Source organism: Homo sapiens, chromosome 16, assembly GCF_000001405.40.
Source record: "Homo sapiens chromosome 16, GRCh38.p14 Primary Assembly".
NCBI lineage: Eukaryota > Metazoa > Chordata > Mammalia > Primates > Hominidae > Homo > Homo sapiens.
In genome coordinates, this window is record NC_000016.10 from 65,550,719 (window position 1) to 65,577,858 (window position 27,140).

The 27,140-nt window shown below is 39.7% G+C and overlaps 1 long non-coding RNA gene across 2 annotated transcripts in view; it reads right to left on the reverse strand.

Moving 5' to 3' along the window:
• The window catches only part of LINC00922 (long intergenic non-protein coding RNA 922), a 291,796-nt gene extending 266,217 nt beyond the window's left edge, over positions 1-25,579 (reverse strand). For both annotated transcript variants that reach the window (NR_027755.2, NR_174971.1), the window contains exons 1-2: positions 25,521-25,579; positions 21,053-21,207 (exon numbers count right to left, since the gene is read on the reverse strand). This is a non-coding gene — a long non-coding RNA (long intergenic non-protein coding RNA 922). The remainder of the gene's footprint in view (positions 1-21,052; positions 21,208-25,520) is intronic.
• Between the last annotated feature and the right edge of the window lie 1,561 nt (positions 25,580-27,140).

Sequence of the window (27,140 nt, forward strand, 5' to 3'; positions counted from 1 at the left end):
ACACAAAACTTCTTGTTTTGCCACTATAAAACAAAATTAGAAATTAAGAAGCAGCAGCCAGGTGTGGTGGCTCACACCTGTAATCCCAGCACTTTGGGAGGCTGAGGGGGGTGGATAGCTTAAAGCCAAGAGTTCAAGACTACCTGGGCAACATGGCAAATCCTCATCTCCACCAAAATTACAAAAATTATTTAGTCTCATGACCGTGTTTCAAAAAAAAAATTAAAAAGCAAAACAAAACATATGAGATAACAAATACATATATAGCGATTTTTCCTGATGCACTCCCTCCCTCCACTGCCCTCCTTCCCCCAATTGTGGGTTTTTATGTTCCTTCTTATTTTAAACCAAGAGATAACAAAAGGGAAAAACATTTTAGGGAGACATAAATTCAAAAAAAAAAGTCGCTGGAGCCAAGATGGCCGAATAGGAACAGCTCCAGTCTACAGCTCCCAGAGTGAGCGATGCAGAAGACGGGTGATTTCTGCATTTCCATCTGAGGTACCGGGTTCTTCTCACCAGGGAGTGCCAGACAGTAGGCGCAGGACAGTGGGTGCAGCACACCCTACGCAAGCGGAAGAAGGACGAGGCATTGCCTCAGGAAGCGCAAGGAGTCAGGGAGTTCCCTTTCCTAGTCAAAGAAAGGGGTGACAGACGGCACCTGGAAAATCGGGTCACTCCCACCCCAATACTGCGCTTTTCTGACGAGCTTAAAAAACGGCACACCAGGAGATTATATCCCGCACCTGGCTCAGAGGGTCCTATGCCCACGCAGTCTCGCTGACTGCTAGCACAGCAGTCTGAGATCAAACTGCAAGGCGGCAGCAAGGCTGGGGAAGGGGCGCCCGCCATTGCCCAGGCTTGCTTAGGTAAACAAAGCAGCCGGGAAGCTCGAACTGGGTGGAGCCCACCACAGCTCAAGGAGGCCTGCCTGCCTCTGTAGGCTCCACCTCTGGGGGCAGGGCACAGACAAACAAAAAGACAGCAGTAACCTCTGCAGACTTAAATGTCCCTGTTTGACAGCTTTGAAGAGAGCAGTGGTTCTCCCAGCACGCAGCTGGAGATCTGAGAAGGGGCAGACTGCTTCCTCAAGTGGGTCCCTGACCCCTGACCCCCGAGCAGCCTAACTGGGAGGCACCCCCAAGTAGGGGCAGACTGACACCTCACACGGCTGGGTACTCCTCTGAGACAAACCTTCCAGAGGAACGATCACACAGCAGCATTCACAGTTCACGAAAATCCGCTGTTCTGCAGCCACTGCTGCTGGTACCCAGGCAAACAGGGTCTGGAGTGGACCTCTAGCAAACTCCAACAGACCTGCAGCTGAGGGTCCTGTCTGTTAGAAGGAAAACTAACAAACAGAAAGGACATCCACACCTAAAACCCATCTGTACATCACCATCATCAAAGACCAAAAGTAGATAAAACCACAAAGATGGGGAAAAAACAGAGCAGAAAAACTGGAAACTCTAAAAAGCAGAGCGCCTCTCCTCCTCCAAAGGAACGCAGCTCCTCACCAGCAACGGAACAAAGCTGGATGGAGAATGACTTTGACAAGTTGAGAGAAGAAGGCTTCAGATGATCAAACTACTCCGAGCTACAGGAGGAAATTCAAACCAAAAGCAAAGAAGTTTAAAACTTTGAAAAAAATGTAGACAAATGTATAACTAGAATAACCAATATAGAGAAGTGCTTAAAGGAGCTGATGGAGCTAAAAGCCAAGGCTTGAGAACTACGTGAAGAATGCAGAAGCCTCAGGAGCCGAAGCAATCAACTGGAAGAAAGGGTATCAGTGATGGAAGATGAAATGAATGAAATGAAGTGAGAAGGGAAGTTTAGAGAAAAAAGAATAAAAAGAAAGGAACAAAGCCTCCAAGAAATATGGGACTATGTGAAAAGCCCAAATCTACGTCTGATTGGTGTACCTGAAAGTGATGGGGAGAATGGAACCAAGTTGGAAAACACTCTTCAGGATATTATCCAGGAGAACTTCCCTAATCTAGCAAGGCAGGCCAACGTTCAGATTGAGGAAATACAGAGAACGCCACAAAGATACTCCTCGAGAAGAGCAACTCCAAGACACATAATTGTCAGATTCACCAAAGTGGAAATGAAGGAAAAAATGTTAAGGGCAGCCAGAGAGAAAGGTCGGGTTACCCACAAAGGGACGCCCATCAGACTAACAGTGGATCTCTCGGCAGAAACTCTACAAGCCAGAAGACAGTGGGGACCAATATTCAACATTCTTAAAGAAAAGAATTTTCAACCCAGAATTTCATATCCAGCCAAACTAAGCTTCATAAGTGAAGGAGAAATAAAATACTTTACAGACAAGCAAATGCTGAGAGATTTTGCCACCACCAGGCCTGCCCTAAAAGAGCTCCTGAAGGAAGCATTAAACATGGCAAGGAACAACCGGTACCACCCACTGCAAAAACATACCAAATTGTAAAGACCGTCGAGGCTAGGAAGAAACTGCATCAACTAATGAGCAAAATAACCAGCTAACATCATAATGACAGGATCAAATTCACACATAACAATATTAACTTTAAATGTAAATGGACTAAATTCTCCAATTAAAAGGCACAGACTGGCAAATTGGATAAAGAGTCAAGACCCATCAGTGTGCTGTATTCAGGAAACCCATTTCACGTGCAGACACACACATAGGCTCAAAATAAAAGGATGGAGGAAGATCTACCGAGCAAATGGAAAACAAAAAAAGGCAGGGGTTGCAATCCTAGTATCTGATAAAACAGACTTTAAACCAACAAAGATCAAAAGAGACAAAGAAGGCCATTACATAATGGTAAAGGGATCAATTCAACAAGAATAGCTAACTATCCTAAATATATATGCACCCAATACAGGAGCACCCAGATTCATAAAGCAAGTCCTGAGTGACCTACAAAGAGACTTAGACTCCCACATAATAACAATGGGAGACTTTAACACCCCGCTGTCAACATTAGACAGATCAATGAGACAGAAAGTCAACAAGGATACCCAGGAATTGAACTCAGCTCTGCACCAAGCAGACCTAATAGACATCTACAGAACTCTCCACCCCAAATCAACAGAATATACATTTTTTTTCAGCACCACACCACACCTATTCCAAAATTGACCACATAGTTGGAAGTAAAGCTCTCCTCAGCAAATGTAAAAGATCAGAAATTATAACAAGCTGTCTCTCAGACCACAGTGCAATCAAATTAGAACTCAGGATTAAGAAACTCACTCAAAACTACTCAACTACATGGAAACTGAACAACCTGCTCCTGAGTGACTACTGGGTACATAACGAAATCAAGGCAGAAATAAAGATGTTCTTTGAAACCAACGAGAACAAAGACACAACATACCAGAATCTCTGGGACACATTCAAAGCAGTGTGTAGAGGGAAATTTATAGCACTAACTGCCCACAAGAGAAAGCAGGAAAGATCCAAAATTGACAACCTAACATCACAATTAAAAGAACTAGAAAAGCAAGAGCAAACACATTCAAAAGCTAGCAGAAGGCAAGAAATAACTAAAATCAGAGCAGAACTGAAGGAAATAGAGACACAAAAAAACCTTCAAAAAATTAATGAATCTAGGAGCTGGTTTTTTGAAAGGATCCACAAAATTGATAGACCGCTAGCAAGACTAATAAAGAAGAAAAAAGAATCAAATAGACGCAATAAAAAATGATAAAGGGGATATCACCACCGATCCCACAGAAATACAAACTACCATCAGAGAATACGACCAACACCTCTATGCAAATAAAATAGAAAATCTAGAAGAAATGGATAAATTCCTCAACACATACACCCTCCCAAGACTAAACCAGGAAGAAGTTGAATCTCTGAATAGACCAATAAAAGGCTCTGAAATTGAGGCAATAATTAATAGCTTACCAACCAAAAAGAGTCCAGGACCAGATGGATTCACAGCCGAATTCTACCAGAGGTACAAGGAGGAACTGGTACCATTCCTTCTGAAACTATTCCAATCAATAGAAAAAGAGGGAATCCTCCCTAACTCATTTTATGAGGCCAGCATCATCCTGATACCAAAGCCGGGCAGAGACACAACCAAAAAAGAAAATTTTAGACCAATATCCTTCCTTGATGAACATTGATGCAAAAATCCTCAATAAAATACTGCCAAACCGAATCCAGCAGCACATCAAAAAGCTTATCCACCATGATCAAGTGGGCTTCCTCCCTGGGATGCAAGGCTGGTTCAATATACGCAAATCAAATATAATCCAGCATATAAACAGAACCAAAGACAAAAACCACATGATTATCTCAATAGATGCAGAAAAGGCCTTTGACAAAATTCAACAACCCTTCATGCTAAAAACTCTCAATAAATTAGGTATTGATGGGACGTATCTCAAAATAATAAGAGCTGTCTATGACAAACCCACAACCAATTTCATACTGAATGGGCAAAAACTGGAAGCATTCCCTTTGAAAACTGGCACAAGACAGGGATGCCCTCTCTCACCACTCCTATTCAACATAGTGTTGGAAGTTCTGGCCAGGGCAATTAGGCAGGAGAAGGAAATAAAGGGTATTCAATTAGGAAAAGAGGAAGTCAAATTGTCCCTGTTTGCAGATGACATGATTGTATATCTAGAAAACCCCATTGTCTCAGCCCAAAATCTCCTTAAGCTGATAAGCAACTTCAGCAAAGCCTCAGGATACAAAATCAATGTACAAAAATCACAAGCATTCTTATACACCAACAACAGACAAACAGAAAGCCAAATCATGAGTGAACTCCCATTCACAATTGCTTCAAAGAGAATAAAATACCTAGGAATCCAACTTACAAGGGATGTGAAGGACCTCTTCAAGGAGAACTACAAACCACTGCTCAATGAAATAAAAGAGGATACAAACAAATGGAAGAACATTCCATGCTCATGGGTAGGAAGAATCAATATCTTGAAAATGGCCATACTGCCCAAGGTAATTTATAGATTCAATGCCATCCCCATCAAGCTACCAATGACTTTCTTCACAGAATTGGAAAAAACTACTTTCAAGTTCATATGGAACCAAAAAAGAGCCCGCATTGCCAAGTCACTCCTAAGCCAAAAGAACAAAGCTGGAGGCATCACACTACCTGACTTCAAACTATACTACAAGGCTACAGTAACCAAAACAGCATGGTACTGGTACCAAAACAGAGATATAGATCAATGGAACAGAACAGAGCCCTCAGAAATAACGCCGCATATCTACAACTATCTGATCTTTGACAAACCTGAGAAAAACAAGCAATGGGGAAAGGATTCCCTATTTAATAAATGGTGCTGGGAAAACTGGCTAGCCATATGTAGAAAGCTGAAACTGGATCCCTTCCTTACACCTTATACTAAAATTAATTCAAGATGGATTAAAGACTTAAACGTTAGACCTAAAACCATTAAAACCCTAGAAGAAAACCTAGGCATTACCATTCAGGACATAGGCATGGGCAAGGACTTCATGTCTAAAACACCAAAAGCAATGGCAAGCAAAGCCAAAATTGACAAATGGGATCTAATTCAACTCAAGAGCTTCTGCACAGCAAAAGAAACTACCATCAGAGTGAACAGGCAACCTACAAAATGGGAGAAAATTTTTGCAATCTACTCATCTGACAAAGGGCTAATATCCAGAATCTACAATGAACTCAAACAAATTTACAAGAAAAAAACAAACAACCCCATCAAAAAGTGGGCAAAGGACATGAACAGACACTTCTCAAAAGAAGACATTTATGCAGCCAAAAAACACATGAAAAAATGCTCACCATCACTGGCCATCAGAGAAATGCAAATCAAAACCACAATGAGATACCATCTCACACCAGTTAGAATGGCAATCATTAAAAAGTCAGGAAACAACAGGTGCTGGAGAGGATGTGGAGAAATAGAACACTTTTACACTGTTGGTGGGACTGTAAACTAGTTCAAGCATTGTGGAAGTCAGTGTGGCGATTCCTCAGGGATCTAGAACTAGAAATACCATTTGACCCAGCCATCCCATTACTGGGTATATACCCAAAGGACTATAAATCATGCTGCTGTAAAGACACATGCACACGTATGTTTATTGCGGCACTATTCACAATAGCAAAGACTTGGAACCAAGCCAAATGTCCAACAATGATAGACTGGATTAAGAAAATGTGGCACATATACACCATGGAATACTATGCAGCCATAAAAAATGATGAGTTCATGTCCTTTGTAGGGACATGGATGAAATTGGAAATCATCAATCTCAGTAAACTATCACAAGAACAAAAAACCAAACACCGCATATTCTCACTTATAGGTGGGAATTGAACAATGAGAACACATGGACACAGGAAGGGGAACATCACACTCTGGGGACTGTTGTGGGGTCGGGAGAGGGGGGAGGGATAGCTTTAGGAGATATACCTAATGCTAAGTGATGAGTTAATGGGTGCATCACACCAGCATGGCACCTGTATACATATGTAACTAACCTGCACATTGTGCACATGTACCCTAAAACTTAAAGTATAATAATAATATTTAAAAAATAAAAATAAAAAAGTCAAGGAGTTTAAAATATCTTATTCTAAAAAATAATATGCCACTGTCTCATATTCTTTTACACCCATTTTGGCCTTAATGTCAGCTCACCTAAGAGGAAGACTACCCCCTTGGGTTAGGAGTAAACATTCATACTGGGCTTTTCCAGCCCTCTAGTTAGTGTATTCAGGCCCTGCTTTCTCTACTTGCCTAAGAAGCAGTTATATTTGTAAAGACAGAGGTGGAAGTTTATGGTGTAAGGTCTTCACTCAGGTAAAGGGTATTTCCTTTAAAAATTCATCTTCTTTTTCATGAATGCCCCCAAGAGAATGTCATCTACCCCCACAGAATTCAGTAAAACATAGCTAAAAAATTGAAGTGAGTGACCCCACTAGACCTTTAATAAGAATCACTCTTGACAGGATGAGAATAAAAACCAAAAGCACTGGAGTTGTTGGGTGCTGGTAGTAACACTTCAGATTGAGAGGGTCATGCAATTATGCCAGCACCACAGTAAATATTCATACACAGGCCTCAGTGACATGGCATATTTCAGTGCCTTAAGACCTAAGTAGGGCCAGAATCTAACTTACCTCTGAGGTTGCCAATGCATGAAATTCCTCATATGTCTTCTGATGGACATGACCTGTCCTCAAGGCTCCCCTCAAACCTGCACCTTTCCTTTTAGCATTCCTTGCCACTGCGGCAAGTAAATTGCTGGTTTAATTATTTACTTAATGTCTTTCTCCTCTGTTGGATGGTGACTTCTGTAAAGTCAAGGACTGTCTTGTGTAATGCTTGGCACGACATTGAGTAAATAAGTGCTCCATGAACATCCATTCCGTGAATGAATGTACCAACCAACCCACCACAGCCAGGGTCCTACATCCCTCAGGTGTGAATGACCAGATATTTTCATCCATACAACTATGTCCACTTGCAGATACCATAGACATAAATAAAACCCGAGTGTTTAAAATACTTTTCCTTTCTGCAATTGGGGTATTCACATTGATAAATTGTTCCATGCTCTCAGGAATATTAAGAGGCTGCCATTTATATAACACCACTTTCTACCACCACTACTTCTTAGGAGACTATTTTTAAAAAAGAAATAACTGTCAGTGTGTGCATGATTTTCAACTACACATCTTTTATTCTTCAAAACTTGAAGAAAAGCTGCTGTGTTTGTGTTTCTTTTACATTTAGTTTGGTCTTTCACAGCAAAGGTGCCCAGAAGCCTGTTTAAGTGAGACATTGTTCAAAGCCCTCTATAATTTTATCCCCCTCTGCCAATTTTCCTTCCTCTTTTCTCACCACTTCCTACCATGCCCTAAACGCCCCAGCCCACCATTGCACGAAGGTATACACAGAGGGGTGGTAACCAGGCATCAGATCTTGAGGAAGATCCTGAGAACACACAGAGAATAACACAAATATAGTCGCAGCCCTCATGGGTTTATACTTTATTGAGGAAGGCAAGAATTAAGAAAGTACTTTGAGTTTGATGAAAGTTAACAAAGAGGGCTTTAAGACTATATTAGGAGCATACATAAAATAACTGGAGTCTAGTGTACCAGGACAGGTCAACTTGAGAACATGACACTTGAGCTGAGAATTAAAGGAATCAGTAGCAGCCAGGCAAGTGAGCAGTGTTGGGTTGAGGACACTTTGTAGGCAGTGGGAAGGGTGTTTAAGAAGACCCAATGTTCAGAAGGAACATGCTGGATTAAAGAAAATGAAAGAAGCCAGAACACCGGCAGAAGGGAAAGAGTTATCCTAACCCAACACACGTACAATTTCATTCATCTCCATTTTTTCTCTCTTGCTGTTCCCCTTGGTCTTAAATGCTGTTCTCCTTCTTCTCAATCTATTACATGCTTAATTCAACATTTATTTATATTCTGAGAGTTTTACCAACATCTCCCCTGTTGGAACATCTACCACCATGACTCGTTTTTTGTGTGTGTGACAGGGTGACAGGGTCTTTCTCTCACCCAGGCTACAGTGCAGTGGTGTGAACTCCATTCACTGAAGCCTTGATCTCATAGGCTCCAGTGATGCTCCCACTTCAACCTCTAGGTATCTGGGACTACATTTATGTGCCACCACACCCAGCTATTTTGTTGTTGTTGTTGTTGTTGTTTGTAGAGATGGAGCTTCACCATGTTGCCCAGGCTGGTCTCAAACTCCTGGGCTCAAGTATCTACCAGCCTCGGCCTCCCACAGTGCTGGGATTACAGGCATGAGCCTCCACACCCAGTCCCCCAAAATTCTTTATGCAAACTTTTACCATGGTGCCCATCTATTTGTAGTTCTACTCTATTACTGTGCCCTCTACATTGTAGTAACTCCCATACACCTTATTCCCTGGGCTCACATCGCGGCCGATGCAAAGAGAAACTCAATGCTGTTTCCAAAGTGAATTGAATTGAATTGTTTGATACAGCAACATTCAATGTGGACAATATTCTAGAAGGCTTTCAGTCCACAATCCCACCTAATACGGGAACACATTCTTCCGTATTTCTGACAAGGCTTTCCAGCTAATTATTGTCCCCATAAAAGCCCACATAGGGCAAAGAATGTAAGCTTCAGCGTTTGGAAATATCTTTAAAAGAACATATTGAGAAAAAGGCTTAACTCGGGTAAGAAGATTAATAGACTGAGCTTAAAAGTCATTAAAAAGATGTAAAGGAGGAATAAAGTTTGAATAAACAAAGCCATGTCTAATGAAACATTTTTTTTTATATCAAAGGCAAGTTATGAGCAGTGGGACTGACATTGGGTTTATAAACATCATAAAGTGTCATGGATAGTGTGAGTGGGAAAACCTGTCACAGAAGGATGCAAGGCAAAAATTAGGTCAGCACTGAAGATCTTAGGACATTCTAGAGTTGCTCTCAATGTGGGTTCCTAGACTCAGTAACTGAGCTCCCCGCTTATTTCTCTAATCCAGCTTGCACTTCTTTAGCAGGTCCTGGCCTCTGGGTCCTTATACCAGATGCTCAAAGGTATATGTGAGGCTGGGCTCAGAGGCTCACACCTGTAATCCCAGCACGTTGGGAGGCCGAGGTGGGCAGATCACTTGAGGTCAGGAGTTCAAGACCAGCCTGGCTAACATGGTGAAATCCCATCTGTACTAAAATTACAAAAATTAGCTGGGAGTGGTGGTGGGTGCCTGTAATCCAAGCTACTGGGGAAGCTAAGGCAGGAGAGTCTCTTGAACCTGAGAGGCAGAGGTTCCAGTGAGCTGAGATCACACCACTGCACTCCAGCCTGGGTGACAGAGTGTGTGAGACTGTCTCAAAAAAAAAAAAAAAGGTATATGTGAGATAATAATAATGATTATAACAAGAAACACAACTGCAGCAACAACAAAAATAATGCATTATTTAAAAAAAAAACTCTTCACCTCTGTGAACTGCCCTTCCCTCTTTGTAAAATGCAGATAATAATGTTCACCCTCCATAGGTCACAGAGTTGTCCTATAGACAGTATACCCACATAAAGGGTCATTGAAAATAGAGGCATCATGTCATAGCAGAAAAACATTGGTGTTCACTCAGGTAAACATGAAGCAAACCTGATTGTTATACTCATTCATTTATTCAATCATGCATGCATTCCTTAATCAGCAAATGTTCGTTTCATTACTTAGTTTTGAAAACCCAGTAACTATCATGAATAATACATCATACTTTCTACTTCCCACCAAGCATGCTTTATGAAGTTGCCAAGATGAGTAAATTTGATGGCAAGTCAAGGTATACAGTCTTTTGATTTAGAGCTTGTATTTGGAATCTCAGTTTGTTTGCTGTTTTCATAGCACGTAGTATGAAGAGCTTTTTCTCCTCCACGTGGCTGGCACAGGGCTCTTGTTGGATCTGCCTTCAACTCTAGACTGTAGTCGTCTATTTTTTATGGTGTCCCCTGGAGCCACCCAGTAGGAATTTTGGCTTTGGCAAATAGTTTATATTTTATCTTAGGCTATGCCTTCCAAATGGCCAGTATTTCATCCAACAGTGTTTGTGAAATATGGTAACAAACAATCAGAAATTTAACTTTATTTATGTGGACACCATAATAGACCTTGAGAACATAATGTTAAGCAAAGAAGGCCCAGCCAGCACCAGCATCTGCCTTTCTGTAGCTTAATATCTATAAGGGAAGACAATATGTCATGCAAGTAATCATAAGAAAGTGTGAAGAGTGTTAAAATAGAGGAAGAAGAGGAAAATGTGCAAACATACAGCAGAAAGAGACCTAACTCAGTTTAAGGGTCCATGACATTTAAAGAGATCTTTATGAAAGTGCAACCTTAAGTGATTCAAAGGCAGAGGTGAGGGTAGGCGAGGAAGTAGTGAGGACAGAGGAAAGTCCCATTCTCACAGTAAGTTGGCATTTTAATGCTGGCATCTAAAGCATAGTGGTTCAAATCATACCTCTGTTCCTTACTAACTCTGTGAATCTGGACAAGTCACATAACCTTACTGTTCCTCAACTTCTTTATTTGTAAAATGTGAAAATACAATACCCAAACTTGTTGCATTATTGTGATCCTCAAACAAATTCATACATAAAAAGCTCTTAGAAACATGCACGGCTCATAGCGAGAGCTACATAAATGTCGGCAGTTATATTTTTACTACTGCTACTATTGCTAGCTATGTCATTCCAAGAGATGCAGCTAAACTCCCAGAGCTTCAAGGTCATCATCCATAAAATGGGAATACTAATACCTACATTATAAGGAGATTATTAACGAGAATGATAAATGCAAAATATGTGCGTCTGATAGGCATCCTATAGATGCTCAGTAAATACTATCGGGTATTAATAGCAATAGCCTAAACTTCATGGAATGCCTTGACCTTGGCCCTGACCTACTATTTACAAGTGATCTATGTGTATAAATACTGACTAGTCTTTCTTGTCTAGGTTTGGCTAAGGCAACAAAGCTCAGGTAGAGGACAGGTCAGGTGTGCTACTGCCACCCTAACACAAAGATGGGCCACCATTCATAAGTCTTAAGCAAAGTCCAACACTATCTAATGATAATACATTCCCTTTATAAGTTATTTAATGATGGTGCTTCCGATATCCCTGACCCTGGAGAGTTTTCCATGTCTCTTGCTCTGAGTGTCACATTCAATGGGGAAAAGGTCAGCAACAAAAAGGAGATGAGAACAACTAGGAAACTCTTGTGCCACCACCTGTCAAAGAGAGACTCAATGACCTTTCAGTGGCTTCCCTTGGGCTCCCCTTGATGTAAGTCCAAGAGGCAGAAGACTGAGCTGCTCTTGGGAAAAAGGATCCATCACCCAGCCATTTCCCCAGGTCCATTAAAAGTCTGACACCATTAATCTGCACTACTTTACTTTTCATTATGTAGAACTGTGCCTTGATCAAAAGTCCCCTTGTGTAGCAGCCTGATTCATTACCAATAGCTGTGGGCCACACACCAGAAATTCATAATCAGCTGACATTATCTACCCAGATCATTCCCCGGATTTGAAAAGCTCCTCATGTCTATCATTATGAAGAGGCAGCCACACGGGATACAATCTGCAAACAGGTCTGAGGGTTAACACAATGGAATGCCCTTTGAACAAGGTTCCAGTTAAGGAATGAACTCCTATCTCCGTTGTACATGTTTGGGTCACCTACTTTCTGAGAACTCACCCACATGAACCCTACATGGGAACTAAGAATCCTACAATTTGGAGACAAAGAGGACCTAGGATAGGTAGACACAAGCTCAAGACACCAAGATGCTATCTCTGGGACACAAAGCCCCTGGTAAAAGATGAGATACTTCTAGTTCAAGCTTACATGTTTCTAAGTTTGGGGCCCTTTCTCCAACATCCAAATTTTCCTTTACCATTCACTTGATGTGTGATCTTAGTCCAATCACTTGCATTCCATTCTCAGTTTTATTTTATTTTATTTTATTTTTTGAGACAGAGTTTTGCTCTTGTTGCCCAGGCTGGAGCGCAATGGTGTGATCTCGGCTCACTGCAACCTCTGCCTCCCAGGCTCAAGTGATTCTCCTGCCTAAGCCTCCCGAGTAGCTTGGATTACAGGTGCCTGCCACCATGCCTGGCTAATTTTTGTATTTTTAGTAGAGAAGGGGTTTCACCACATTGGCTAGGCTGGTCTCGAACTCCTGACCTCAGTTTATCCCCCCGCCCCCCACCCCAGCCTCCCAAAGTGCTGTGATTACAGGTGTGAGCCTCCACGCTCAGCCTCTCAGTTTTATTTTTTTCCTTTATTTGTACAAATGTATAGGGCACATGTGAAATTTTGTTACACATCTAAAATGCGTAGTAATCAAATCAGGGTATTCAGAGTGTTCTTCACCCAAGTGTAATACATTTTTGTTAAGTATAATCATTCTACTCTGCTATCAAACATTGAATTTATTCCTTCTATCTTACTGTATACAGTGTTTGTGCCCTTTAACCCACTTCTCTTCATCCTCCCTCCTCACCCTCATCACCCTTTCCACTCTATTTTATCTACCTTTCTACTCTCTACCTCCATGTGATTAGGGTTTGTAGCTCCTACACATAAATGAGAACATGCAATATTTTTATACGGGCATGCCTGGCTTATTTCACTTAAGATAATGACCTCCAGTTCCCTTCATGCTGCTACAAATGACTTGATTTCATTCTTTTTTTTTTTTTTTTAATTTCACTTTAAGTTCTCGGATACATGTGCAGAATGTGCAGGTTTGTTAACGTAGGTATACATGAGCCATGGTGGTTTGCTGCACCTATCAACCAATCATCTAGATTTTAAGCCCCTCATGAATTAGGTATTTGTCCTAATGCTCTCACTTTTCTTGCCCTCCACCCCCCGGCAGGCCCCGTTGTGTGATATTCCCCTCCCTGTGTCCATTTGTTCTCATTGTTCAACTCCCACTGATGAGTGAGAACATTTGGTGTTTGGTTTTCTGTTCCTGTGTTAGTTTGCTGAGAATGATGGCTTCCAGCTTCATCCATAACCCTGCAAAGGTCATGAACTCATTCTATTTTATGGCTGCATAGTATTCCACAGTATATATGTGCCATATTTTCTTTATCCAGTCTATCACTGATGGGCATTTGGGTTGTTTCCAAGTCTTTGGTATTGTAAATACTGCTACAATAAACATACGTGTGCATGTGTCTTTACAAAGGATTTCATTCTTTTTTATAGCCATATGGCATTCCATTTTGTGTATATACCACATTTTTTAATCCATGCATCCACTGATGGACACTCAGGTTGATTCTTTCTCTTTGCTATTGTGAGTAGTGCTGCAATAAACATGGGAGTGCTTTATTCTACCTCTGTCTCTTGCAGGAGTGATCTGTATTAAATAAAAGACTGTGAGTAGAAATGTGTTATGACTGTGTGTCTGTTCTATGGGCAATAACCTTTCAGTTGACTACCAACATTTTTTGCAAGAAATGGGAACCTAACAAAGCAGTTAATATTAATCAAACGATTAGCTACCTAATTCCCTGAGAGATAATTAGGTGCCAGATAATGTGTGGCAGGTGCTTTGTAAGCATCATAACAGTTTCAAACAGTCACAGCCATATAGTGTCATCATGGAAGTTGAGTAAATTAATAAATATAAAATGTTTTAAACATATAATAGTAAGGCCTTAATAAATGATATCCATTAACATCCATTAATGCTATCACTGGAATCCTTACTAAACATGCCTTAAAAATAGTACTTTTGTCATTGTTCAAACATCTGACAAGGGGATCATTTTCTCCTGGAACCCTCTATTGCAATTCTAGACCACTCTGGCTGTTGGGTTGATCTGCCATGACTTAGACTAGAATCTGCATCTTCCCAGTTCCAAGCCACTATTTCTACATTTGCCCCCTAGTCACATAGAAGTCTACCTCCTTTCATAAGGAAAAATACCTGGAATTACTTAAAGAGAGTGATCCTTGTCTTGTCAAGATTTTTATTTTCTAGGCTAAAAAAGAGACATGTCTTTCAGTTGGATCTGGTGTGACTTGACTCCAACTTTGTTTCTGAACTTATCATTTAACTCTGAGTATTACCCACATCTCTTGGATTCACATGGAGGAAACAGTGGAGAACAAGCCAAATAACTTTTCTGGCTAATAAAGCAAAAGAGGGAGCCGGCAATAAGCAGATACCTGGGTATGTTCCTCCCAGATTAAACAGATGTTATTGTTTTGCTCATTTGCTTCAATTTTCTTTTAAGGAATAAACAGCACAGTATGGCTAAAACCCTACCACAATATTCCTTTGCTTCTCTATCCCTCCCCAGAGATGACCTAATACCTGGAAGTGGATATGAAACTTTTTGTGAGAGTTTTTCCATTTGTGTACATATGGATGTCTCCACAAATAATATGTAGGATTGTTTTGAACATTTAAAATGTAAATAAATGCTTTCATGCTGTGCATACCATTTTACACCTTACTGTTTGTACTTCACATTACAGAGATTTATCTATGTTGATACACATACTAATTCATTTTAATTGTTGCATAGCAATCCACTGTGTGAGTTGCCCACAGTCTATTTACTCAATCCCATTATAAGTAAGACCACTTACCTGTAGGTTAATTAGACTGATTCCGATTTTTTTGAAATTGCAATTTTACAAATACATATATATGTATGTATACACATACATATATGTACATACATGTTTATATACACTTGTAAACACTCTCATGCACGTATACATATCTATGTATCACTTTCACATATATCTGTAAGTAGAATAGCTGTGTCATAAAATATGTACATATACAGCAATATTCGATATTGACAAATTGTTCTCCCATCACTATGCCAGTTTATCACCACCAACAATGTATCAAATTTTGTGCATGACCTCAAAAAATTTAATAAAATGTAAAGCAAAGAAATTATATAGGTCACACTCCCTAGTCATAATGCAATAAGTTAGAATCATTACAAAGAAAAAGCAAAAGTCAAAATTACTTGAAAATCAGGAAACATATTCTTAAATAACTGAATTATAAACCCAGGAAGCAATGAATAGGTAAACACTCACATAGCAAAACCGATGGAACTTAACTGACAGCTGAATTCAGAGGAAAACTTATGGCCAGCAAATTAATACAGAGATTAAAAATGTATTGATTTCAGAATTATGGGACAAGGAAAAATTAAGAAAAGTAATATTCACCTTAATAAATGAGAAAATAGGCCGGGCACAGTGGCTCATGCCTGTAATCCCAGCACTTTGGGAGGCCAAGGCGGGTGGATCACCTGAGGTCAAGAGTTCAAGATCAGCCTGGCCAGCATGGTGAAACCATGTTTCTACAAAAATACAAAAATTAGCTGGATATGATGGCAGGTGCCTGTAATCCCAGCCACTTGGGAGGCTGAGGTGGGAGAATCACTTGAACCCAGGAGGCAGAGGTTGCAGTGAGCCACGATCGTGCCATTGCACTCCAGCCTGGGCAACAAAGTGAGACTCTGCCTCAAAAAATAAAATAAAATAAAATAAATAAATTAATTAGAAAATAATGGAACAAAATAAAACAAAAGAAAAGAGAACTTAATAAAGTCTACAGTTAATAAAATTTTGAAGGTAGCAATGACAATGAAATCCAAGAATTATTTCCTTGAAAAGACCAATAAAATAGACAAATTAGGAGTTTTAGAGGGAAGAGGTAGAGAGAGGAGAGAGAGAGTCAAGATTATAAGAAAAAAGATACACTATAGGCAGAAAGAAGACTAAAGAATTAAGGGAATCATATATACAACTTTATGGAATTGATTTGAAAACTTAAAGGAGATGAATGACTTCCAAGAAAAATATAAATTACCAAAATTAACCCAGGAAGATAAAAATAGAATAGTTATCGCTATATCAGCTTAGGTAATTTGGAAAGGTAACTTAAAATTTATCATTAAAAAAGGCAACAAAACAGATAGGTCAAAGTTAACTTTCATTCATGTGACATTTACAAAATGGATGATTCAAATGTTATATAAGCTAGTTCAGGCCATAGAAAAAATGGAAAACTAGCTAGTTTTATATGCAGCCAGCAAAATACCAATATCTGATGAAGATAGTATAAAAATGCAGAGCACTTTCACTTATGAGAATATAAGCACAAATATCAAATCAAATGTTGACTAATTGAACCAGTGATATACTAAAGACAAACATATGTGAGCAACTGCAAAAGTGGCAAAGGCTTATTTCAATTCATTGGGGAAAAAAATAGATTAATTCAAAATAGTTTTGGCACAACTGGCTATCCATCTGGAAGAAAAGAAATAAATGTTTAAGACTATATACAAAATACTTATAAATACACTCACATCTTCAATGTAAAAACATATATATACAGGAATACACACACAAAATATAGGGTCCTGCAGGGAACATGTCTTGATCAAACCTGAGAACTGAGAAATGTTGAAATAAAATGTAAACACATTTGTTCAGGTAAAATATTTTACAGCACAATATAGTATACCGAATGTTAATATAAAAATAATATTTCCCAAATGACTTAATGACTTTGCAATGCAGATGACACTGGGCTTATATTATAATACTTAAAGTAAACTGACATAATGAGAAAAAAGAGGCCCCAATGGAAAAATGAGCAAAGTTATGAATAACACACAGGAGAACAAATCAAAAGGGCTCACAAACATTTATATATACCCACATTCAGAACCAGAGGCATGCAAAATAATAGTGAAATAATAATTTACACCTATGGTAATTTTTTAAAATTTAAAACCAGCCATTGTTAGCCAGGCACAGTGGCTCACACCTGAAATCCCAGTACTTTGGGAGGTCAAGGCAGGAGGACTGCTTGAGGCCAGGAGTTTGAAACTAGCATGGGCAACATAGCAAGACCTTATCTCTCCAAAATATTAAAAATAAAAAAATAAGCTGGGTGCAGTAGCTCATGCCTGTAATCCCAGCACTCTGGGAGGCTGAGGTGGGCAGATGACTTGAGGTCAGGAGTTTGAGACCAGCCTGGTGAACATGGGAAAACCCCGTCTCTACTAAAAATATAAAAATTAGCCAGGTGTAGTGGTGGGTGCCTGTAATCCCAGCTACTTGAGGGGCTAAGGCACAAGAATTGCTTGAACCCAGGAGGTGGAGGTTGCAATGAGCTGAGATCACATCACTGCACTCCAGCATGGGCAACAGAGTAAGACTCCATCTCAAAAAATAAAAAAATAAAAACCTGTGTGGTGACATGCACCTGCAGTCCTAGCTACTTGGGAGGCTGAGGCTAAAGGAGTCCTTGAGCCTAAGAGTTAAAGGTTACAGTGAACTATGATCGTGCCAGGGCACTTTGGCCTAGGTGACACAGTGAAACTCTCTCTCTTTAAAAAAATAAAAATTTAAATTTAAAAATTTTTTAAAAGCCATTTTTTCGCAGGGATACAAGAAAATGGGTACTCTCGCATATTACTTGTAGAAATCAGAATTGTTAATTTCTCTTATGAACAACCTAGCAAAATGTATTAAGCCTAGAAATACACATACTCTTCAACCCAGCAATACTGATCCTGGATCTATTCCATAGAAATAATAAGTGTTTGAGGAAGGAGATGGATATTCTAATTATCCTGATTTTCTCACTATATATTGTACCTGTGTATCAAAATATCACATGTACCTTGTAAATATGCATAATTATTATGTACCAATAAAAATGCAATTAAACAATTAAAAGAGTCTCCAATGAGGGATGATATATATGTGATCATATTTTTGAATATTACTTTATATTAATATATTTGGAATAAAAGTGAATAGATGATAACACACCCACATAGAGACTTACATGAAGGCATATAGACATATTAACATTATATAATTGTCTCCAGAAGGCATTGATACAGTACAGTTGTCTGCATATTGCTTTGCTGATTTAACAGTACCTGATGGATATCTCAGCAAATTAAAGGGTGTACCTCTAACTAATTCTAGTTAATTCTTCAGGTTATTTTTTGATGTAGGAGCCTAATAATTTGACCCAACATTTCCCCAGACTCAGACAGTTTCACTAACAAATTTTACCAAACACTCAAAGAGTTCATATCAACCTTGACCCACTCTTCAAAAAATTGGATGGGAGGGAATGTTTTATAACTCATCCTATGAGGCCAGTATTACCTTGTTACTAAAACCGAATAAAACATAGAAAAATTGTAGACTAATATCTCTTATGAATATAAATGCAAAATCTTAAACAAATACCAGCAAACCAAAGCTAGTAACATACGCAGACACAAAATTTTACAGCATGACCAAGTGGGATTTCTCACAAAAATGCAAGTTTGGTTTAACATCTGAAAACTCAGTTAATGCAATTCAGCTTATTAATGGAATGCAGGACAAAAACCATATGTTCACCTCAGTAGATCCAGAAAAAGGATTTGACAAAATCTAACACTCATGACCAACAACAACAACAACGACAAAAAACCACATTCAACACACTAGGAATAGTAGATAACTTCCTCCATCTGATGTAGAATACCTACAAAAAGCTCACAGCTAACATCACACTTAATGGTGAAAGACAGAGTGCTTTCCCCTAAGATCAAAAAGAAGAAAAGGATGTCTATTCTAATTACATCTACTCAACATTGTATTGGAGGTGCTAGCTAGGGCAATTAGATAAGAAAAAAGAAATAAAGGCAGCAGAATTAGAAAGAAAAAAGTAAAATGATCTCTATTTGAAGATAAGCTTATCTTATACATAGAAAATCCTGAGGGTTCACAAATTAAAAGAAAAAAAGTTATTTGAACTAATAAATGAGTTTAGCAAGGCTACAGGATATGAGTAATATATAAAAGATTTTTTGTTCAACATTTGTGTTGTTTCCACTTTTTGTACTTCTATATACTAATATTTTTGTATTTCTGTACACTAGCAATAAAAAATCTGAAAATGAAATAAAAACAATTACACTTATAGTGGCATCAAAAAATAAAATACTTAAAAATACATCTAACGTAAGTATAAGACTTATACATTGAAACTAAAAAAAATTATAGAAATGGAAAAAAATCTAAGTAAATGGAGAATTACCCCATGACTATGAATCAAAAGGCTTGATAGTGTCCAGATGGCAATACTCCTCAAATTGTTCCACAAGGTCAATAGAATCTCTACCAAAATTTGAGCTTTTTTTTCACTGAAGAACTTGGCAAGCTGATCCTAAAATTCACATGAAGATTCAAAGGATCCAGAATAATCAAAACAATCTTGAGGAAAAAAAAAAGTTACAGGCACACAGACTTTCTAATTTCAAAACTTACTATAAATATACAGGAACTGAGACAGAGTACATCTACTATAAGGATAGCCATATAAGGAACAGAATTGAGAGTCCAGAAATAAACCCTGATATCTATGATCGATTGATTTTCTACAAACATGTCAAGACAATAAAATGGGGCAAGAAGAGTCTCTTCAATAAAGATTTCATCAAAATTAAAAACTTTTGTACATCAAAGGACATTATCAAAAAAAGATACAGAATGAGAGAAAATATTTGCAAATCATATATTTGATAAATATAACTATATCCAAAATATGTAAAGAACTCTTACAATTAAATAATAAATGACAATAACACAATTAAAAATAGGCAAAATATTAAATACACATTTCTCCAAAGAAGATATATAAATGGTCAATAAGCACTTGAAAAGATCCTCAACATCATTAGTCACTGAAAAATGCAAATTAAACCACAATTAGACCCCACTTCATACCCAGTAGAATGGTTATCATAAAAAAGAAACACAATAGCAAGTGCTGGCAAAGATATAGAGAAACTGGAATCCTCATGCAATGCTGGTGGTAATGTAAAACGACGGCACGTAAAAAGAAAGATCTTCCTCAAACTGTTAAACAGAGTTACCATATGATCCCACAGTACCACTTCTAGGAATGTACTTAAGAGGAATGAAAACATATGTCAACATAAAGACTTGTACACAATGTAAACACTGTGTAAACTACCAGTAGTTTTTATACTAGCCAAAAAAATGGAAACAACCCAAATTTCAGCAACAAATCAATGGATAAGTGTGGTATACTCATGATAAAAGCTATATAACAAAATGAAGTTCTGATACATGCCACAACCTAAATGAACGTTGAAAACATTAAGTCTAAGTCAGAAAACACCAAATATTATATGATTCAACTTATATGCAATGTCCAGAATAGGTAACTCTACAGACAAAAAGTATATTAATGGTTGCCCAAAGACATAAAAAGAAAACGGATTTCTTTTTTGAATGGCAAATACATCCAAAATTAAATTGTGGTAATTTTAACACAGTTCTAGAAGTATTCTAAAAACTATTCATTTGTGCACTTTATACGGGAAAGAGGCATAGCATGTAAATTATAATTAAAGAAAGCAGTTCAAAAAACACAAAAGAATGGGTCGAAATTCTGAAGGTAAATCAGACTCACCCACGTTTGTGGTCTGGTGATATGGAAATGTCTCTTTTCACCCGTGAGACTCCAGGTTTATTCCCTACTTCCAGTATTCATGAAAAATAGGACAGAGAGTCGAGCCTTTTCTTCTTCCACGGAAATTAACACCACACGAAAATTGCCATTCTGTTCTAGAATATAAGGAAATATCTCATTGTAAATGGTATGTCTATTTACAAACTGATAGCTAGAAACAGCTGGAAAGCGTGTTTTTGAAATCTTAGAAATTTAAAATCTGAAATTTTAGAAATTTAGAAATTTGAAATTTTAGAAATTAGAAGTTAATGTAAAAATGTACTTATGCCATTTGCAAACTTGATACCTAAGTTAGTAAATTCCAGAATGTGCTAGTTACAAAAATAAATGTTACTCAGTGTTGAATGTGATCTTTTACCATTATTTTTAATTTGGGAACAAATTATTGACTCAAACTTAATGCATAAAGATTCCTTTTCTATAAATGTTCTGGGAAATTAACTAACAATTAAGTATGACTAACAACTGAAAAATGAAAGCGCATATACTAGGGCTGATTCACAAGTGAGATACTTCTGGAGTTCATGATAGCCTGTGTGGAGTTTCCTGGAATCTTTGCAGTCACTACATAACATAATGTCATCCTCTTCTGGCCACTTTAAGTGACACAGGCTTGCCCAAGATGCACTGGGAACTCATAAGAAGCCACCAGAGTGTCTATCTTCTGCACTTTCTCCACACCATCTCCTATCAGTATGTCCTGATCCTCTTTCTCAGCCTTTCTAAGTAAGAAGTCCTATTCCAGTTTCATGCCTCGGCCACTTGGGTGAATGTTTTGATCAGGGACTCCAGATCCCATAGGTTTCTGCAGTGATATGTTAAGCCTGGAAACTGTCATTGAGAGATATCTATACCTCAGAATCCTCTGGGCCAGCCCTGACCTTCTCACTGGGGTGGAGGTAATAAGAGTAATTATTACTAAGCACAAAGTATACATGGAGACTGATGTAGATGCTTTATATAGATTAACTTCCAATCTTCATGGCCGTTCTCTCCCATAAGATTTCAGGCTTAAATACTTTAGAACCTTACATAAAATGACTCAGCTAATATGGACAGAGTTTAAGCACTTCACGCTTGCAACAGTGTTTTGCTCAGCCTGGCCAAAGACCACCTATAAGATCACCTGGAGAGTCTGTCAAACACATAGATTTTCTGGCCCCAGCTAGGATCAACTGAATCAGTTGTTCTCCGAATCTTAATAGTTTCACAATTTTCTGAAGTAATCTGTGATTCTGACACACAGAAATTGGAAAAACACCACTTTCTTCTTCCTTGAGCATCAGTACAGTGTTTCACAAATTTTCTAACAAGCTGAAACCTCCAAATGGCCTTTCATTTTCACAGTGGATGGGGGATGGTTTTCATATACTTCTTTTTCCAAAATCCATTCGTTATATTCTTCACATTGCATGATATATTAGAAAATCCCAACAGGAAAAAAAAAACACCACCACTATTAACAAATAACTCTGTGTCGGAGGCACCACTTGACTAAAAAGATGAGCTTGGGAATCTGGTTTTTACTAGTCTTTATTCAAACATATATATAGGACTCCTATGCCCACTCTCCAACATCTCATATGGCTAAGCTGCAGCCTTGGTACTTAGTTACTAAACCCTCTCACTAATGCCTAGAATTTGGGTTCCCAATCACAGGCCTATTTAGACATAAGATCCACGGGCATAAAGAGATGTTGCCACTCTTCATACTCTTGAGAATAAGGCCCTTCAAAAATGGGAAGGGTTTTCTTAGGTGCTTGGTAGAAAGGCTTTGTTTAGGATTTAGCTAACTAGTTGTATATATCAGCCCCAAATTTAATCTTCTCCTCTACCCAGCACAATGCCTTGTTAATGGTGAGTTCTTTCAGAAATATTTACTAGATGAGTGAGTCAAGATATTGATCATTTGATGTCTGAATATCAGAACTGCAAGAGACCACTGGGAGATGCAATTCAAACCTCTCCATCTCTTTTTACAATTGAGAAAACATCACTGGGATCATTGGCCAGAACTCAAATCCCTTCCCAATAGGGCAAGGTCACTCCCATTGTCTTCACATTTCAGAGCATTTAGTTGAAGCTATGTCCAAGATAAGAACTCTAAGTTCCTGATTCTTTATAAATTTATCAGTTGTAATGTCCTTTCCCCAAATCACTCTGCCTCTAAGGCAGTAGAATTTTGCCTCTCTTTTTTATTTAGTATTGATACCTGCAATATGCCTGAGAAAGAAATCTAAAGGGACACTTATTGAGACAATAAAGGCACATGCAAGATCATGAAAGAGACAGAGAGGTGGAAAAGATGATGTTTTAAAGATGATGCCCATTGAAAGATGAGCAGAGAAAAGAATGCAGGAGATAATTTCAAGGAAAAAAAAATTTCACTGAGCTAAAAGTGTTCAAGCCTAAGAATACCCCCTCTAAGGGTAAAGTTTCATTCTCACCGATATGACAAACATTTTCCCAACAGAAGAAATTTAACACATTATATAAATACCCCAATACGCAAATGGTGGTAGTAATAATTAGTTTTCTCCCCTTTCATCTCCGTTGTTTCTGCCCACACGCATTTCCTATTTCGAGCTTTGGTGTAACAAATGCATCTTTTAAACTGGAAGCCCACGCCTTGTTTTTGCACAAACACAGGTCTCTTTATCGCCACGTGCAGTCTCTCCAGCTCAGGGAGCCGAACAATGAGGCATTTTCTTCTCTCCCTGGCTGCAGAGCTCTGACAGAATTCATTTAATTTCCATGTAAAGTGTAATCGGCGGATAATAATAGGTCACTCACAGCAATATCATTCTGCTCGCCCTGATCACCCATCATTGTGCTAATTGCGGGATAATGTAATATACAGCCAAGGCACACACATAGAATTAGACTGAGCATTTGTTTTTGTGATGCTATGAACAGGATATAAGAGAGAGTGTCATGTCAGCAAATATCATAGACATAGCCCCAGTCTTCCTAAAATGACTCAGGAAATAAAAGTAAAGATTCTTGTATACAGAGGATCTTTGGTATTCTTGATGTCACCTGCAAAATCCACAGGACTTAGGTGATTTTTCTGGGCACAGCTAGACCACGTAAATGCTCTGTCATCCCTGATGTCCCAGTTTTTTGGCTCCTTGGGACAGAAGCTTAGAGCAGCCAAATGATTGCTTGGGCAGGTGACAATCACCTGCTAATTGGCTGTGCTCATTTTAAAATATTTCAAAAATATTGATCATAAACCTTAGATTCTTCTTTCTAAGCCCAAAGACCCTCAAAGCAGCAGAGGCCTTTTCTGTATAGAATTGCTATCCTGGCCAGGCACGGTGGCTCACGCCTATAATCCCAGCACTTTGGGAGGCCGAGGCAGGCGGATCACGAGGTCAGGAGATCCAGACCATCCTGGCTAACAAGGTGAAACCCCGTCTCTACTAAAAATACAAAAAATTAGCTGGGCAAGGTGGCGGGCGCCTGTAGTCCCAGTTAGTCGGGAGGCTGAGGCAGGAGAATGGCGTGAACCCGGGGGCGGAGCCTGCAGTGAGCCGAGACCGCGCCACTGCACTCCAGCCTGGGCGACAGAGTGAGACTCCATCTAAAAAAAAAAAAATTGCTTTCCTTCCTGTAGAAACCTAAATTTTCCCATGCATGCTGTTTCTTTTTTGTCTCTGTGTTGGCAAAGTCAGGAGCTATCATAGCACATGGGCGCCAAAAAGGTGGGTCCTAAAGATGGCCTAGCCCAACACGTTCATTTAATTTATTTCATGATTTTTTATTCTTGTTACAAAGACAATTCATGTCTATTGTAAGTTATCTGGAAAGAGGGAAGAAAACAGAAGTGAACCCAACCCTCCAGAGAGCCCTGCAGTGCAGAGAATGAAGGTGAAGCCACAGAGAAAAATAATTTTTCTTTCTCAGAGAGGGACACTAGGAGGGGTGGAAGGATGTGTTTGCAAGAGGTTTGAAAACTCATATCTGAGAATAGTGTATGTCCGTCTTAGCAGTCAGCATCCCTCATGGATGTTGTCTAATCCTCATGCGCTGGGTGGGGCCTCCCAGCAACTCTCCTGCCAAGAAGCAAGGCAGCCTACTGGTCAGCACAAAGCTTGGCCAGCTCCAGCGCTTCAAGCCAGATTTTCAGGCTTTGGAAGAAGAGAAGAGCCAGCCCATTCCCTGCTCTCCTTCTCTGGTTTTTTTGGGGTATGTGTGAAGATGGAAATTATGCTCATGACCTGACAGAGACAGAAAGATAGAGAACTTCACAGACGCTAGGAGATGGAATCAGATGAGAAACAGCCTGTATTAATCTGTTTTCACACTGCTATAAAGATACCACCTGAGACTGGGTAATTTATAAAGAAAGGAGGTTTAACTGACTCACTGTTCCGCATGGCTGGGAAAGCCTCAGGAAACTTACATTCATGGTGGAAGACGAAGGGGAAGCAACACACTTCTTACGTGGCAGCAGCAGCGAGCAAGGGATCGAAGGGGAAGTGCCACATTTTTAAACCATCAGTTCTCGTGAGAACTCATTCACTATCACGAGAACAGCGTGGCGGAAACCACTTCCATATTAAAATCACCTCCCACCAGGTGCCTCCCTCGACACGTGAGGATTACAACTTGAGATGAGTTTTGGGTGGAGACACAGAGCCAAACCATACCAAGGTCCAAGGGAGAAAGAACCAGAGAAAGCAGATGGAGCTGAGAGACAAGTGTAGGGGAGAAACAAATACAGCACCAGGAGTGAGAGAGTGAGGAAGGGATAAAGGAACAAGACAGAGGCCCAGAATGGTAGGGAACAGAGAAACAGAGGGAGAGAGGTACAGAGGGAGAGGATAATGGAAGGGAAGAGAGAGAGATGGGCAATGAGGGATGAAAAGAGAAAGAGAAACCCAGAGTGAGACAGAACTAAATGAAACTGACATGAGTGGCGTCTATACAACAGGCTGAGCCCAACGTTGTGGCAGGGGTCTGGAGGGAGGTGAGTGTGAATGTGTGCATGTGCATGTGTTTGTGCATGAGGGGGCGCTGTTGGTGCTAGAAGGAGCCTTAGACAATGCACAGGATTTAAAAGCTTCCTCTGGCTGGGCGCCGTGGCTCACGCCTGTAATCCCAGCACTTTGCGGGGCCCAGGCGGGCGGATCACCTGAGGTCAGGAGTTCCAGACCAGCCTGGCCAATATGGTGAAACCCCGTCTCTACCAAAAATACAAAAATTAGCTGGGCGTGGTGTCAGGTGCCTGTAATCCCAGCTACTCAGGAGGCTGAGGCAGGAGAATTGCTTGAACCTGGGAGGCTGAGTTTGCAGTGAGCCGAGATAGCACCACTGCACTAAGGTCTGGGTGACAGAGCAAGACTCTGTCTCAAAAAAAAAGCTTCCTCTGACTTTTGATTCATACACTCATGTCTACCCCTAGATACTCAGAGCACCTTGATAAGCCTGAAGAGGAGATTGTGTTCTTTATTCTTTCTCTCTTACCTGAAAAGCATTACTTCTTCCCATATTTCAACCATTTCGTCAACAATTTGGTGATTCCCTGGTTCATGACTCTGCACACTGAGAAGCATGAGGTCATTTTGGAGGGGGCTCCAACCAGACCAAATGTGATATGAGCTGAGCAGAGGGAGTGGGGTTTGGTGAGCGGGAAAGCAGTGAACACCCTCTGTTGGTTCAGTTCAGGGGTCAGGCCCAGCTTCCCCAGGGCACTGAGAGCTAACTCAGATTTCCAGCACTGAGGTCACAGATCCAGGAATGGGGACAAAGAGTGCCAAGCCTGAGGCTTCAGGTGAGTGGTCAATGACTCTCCATCCAGGGCGTCAGCCTATAGGTCCATAAGTAGAAACTAGCAGGCATCAGACTGAAGGGACACTGGACCCTGGGCTCAAAGCCCAGGACCGAATTCTAGAAGCCAACATAGCAGGGGGTGGAGGTGAAGAGAAAGCTCTGTTCATGAGCAAAGTGGCCCTAGGGACACTGGATTCTGAGAATAAATGGCAGTGGAGGGTCCCTAAGATGGAACAACAGAGTTACTCAG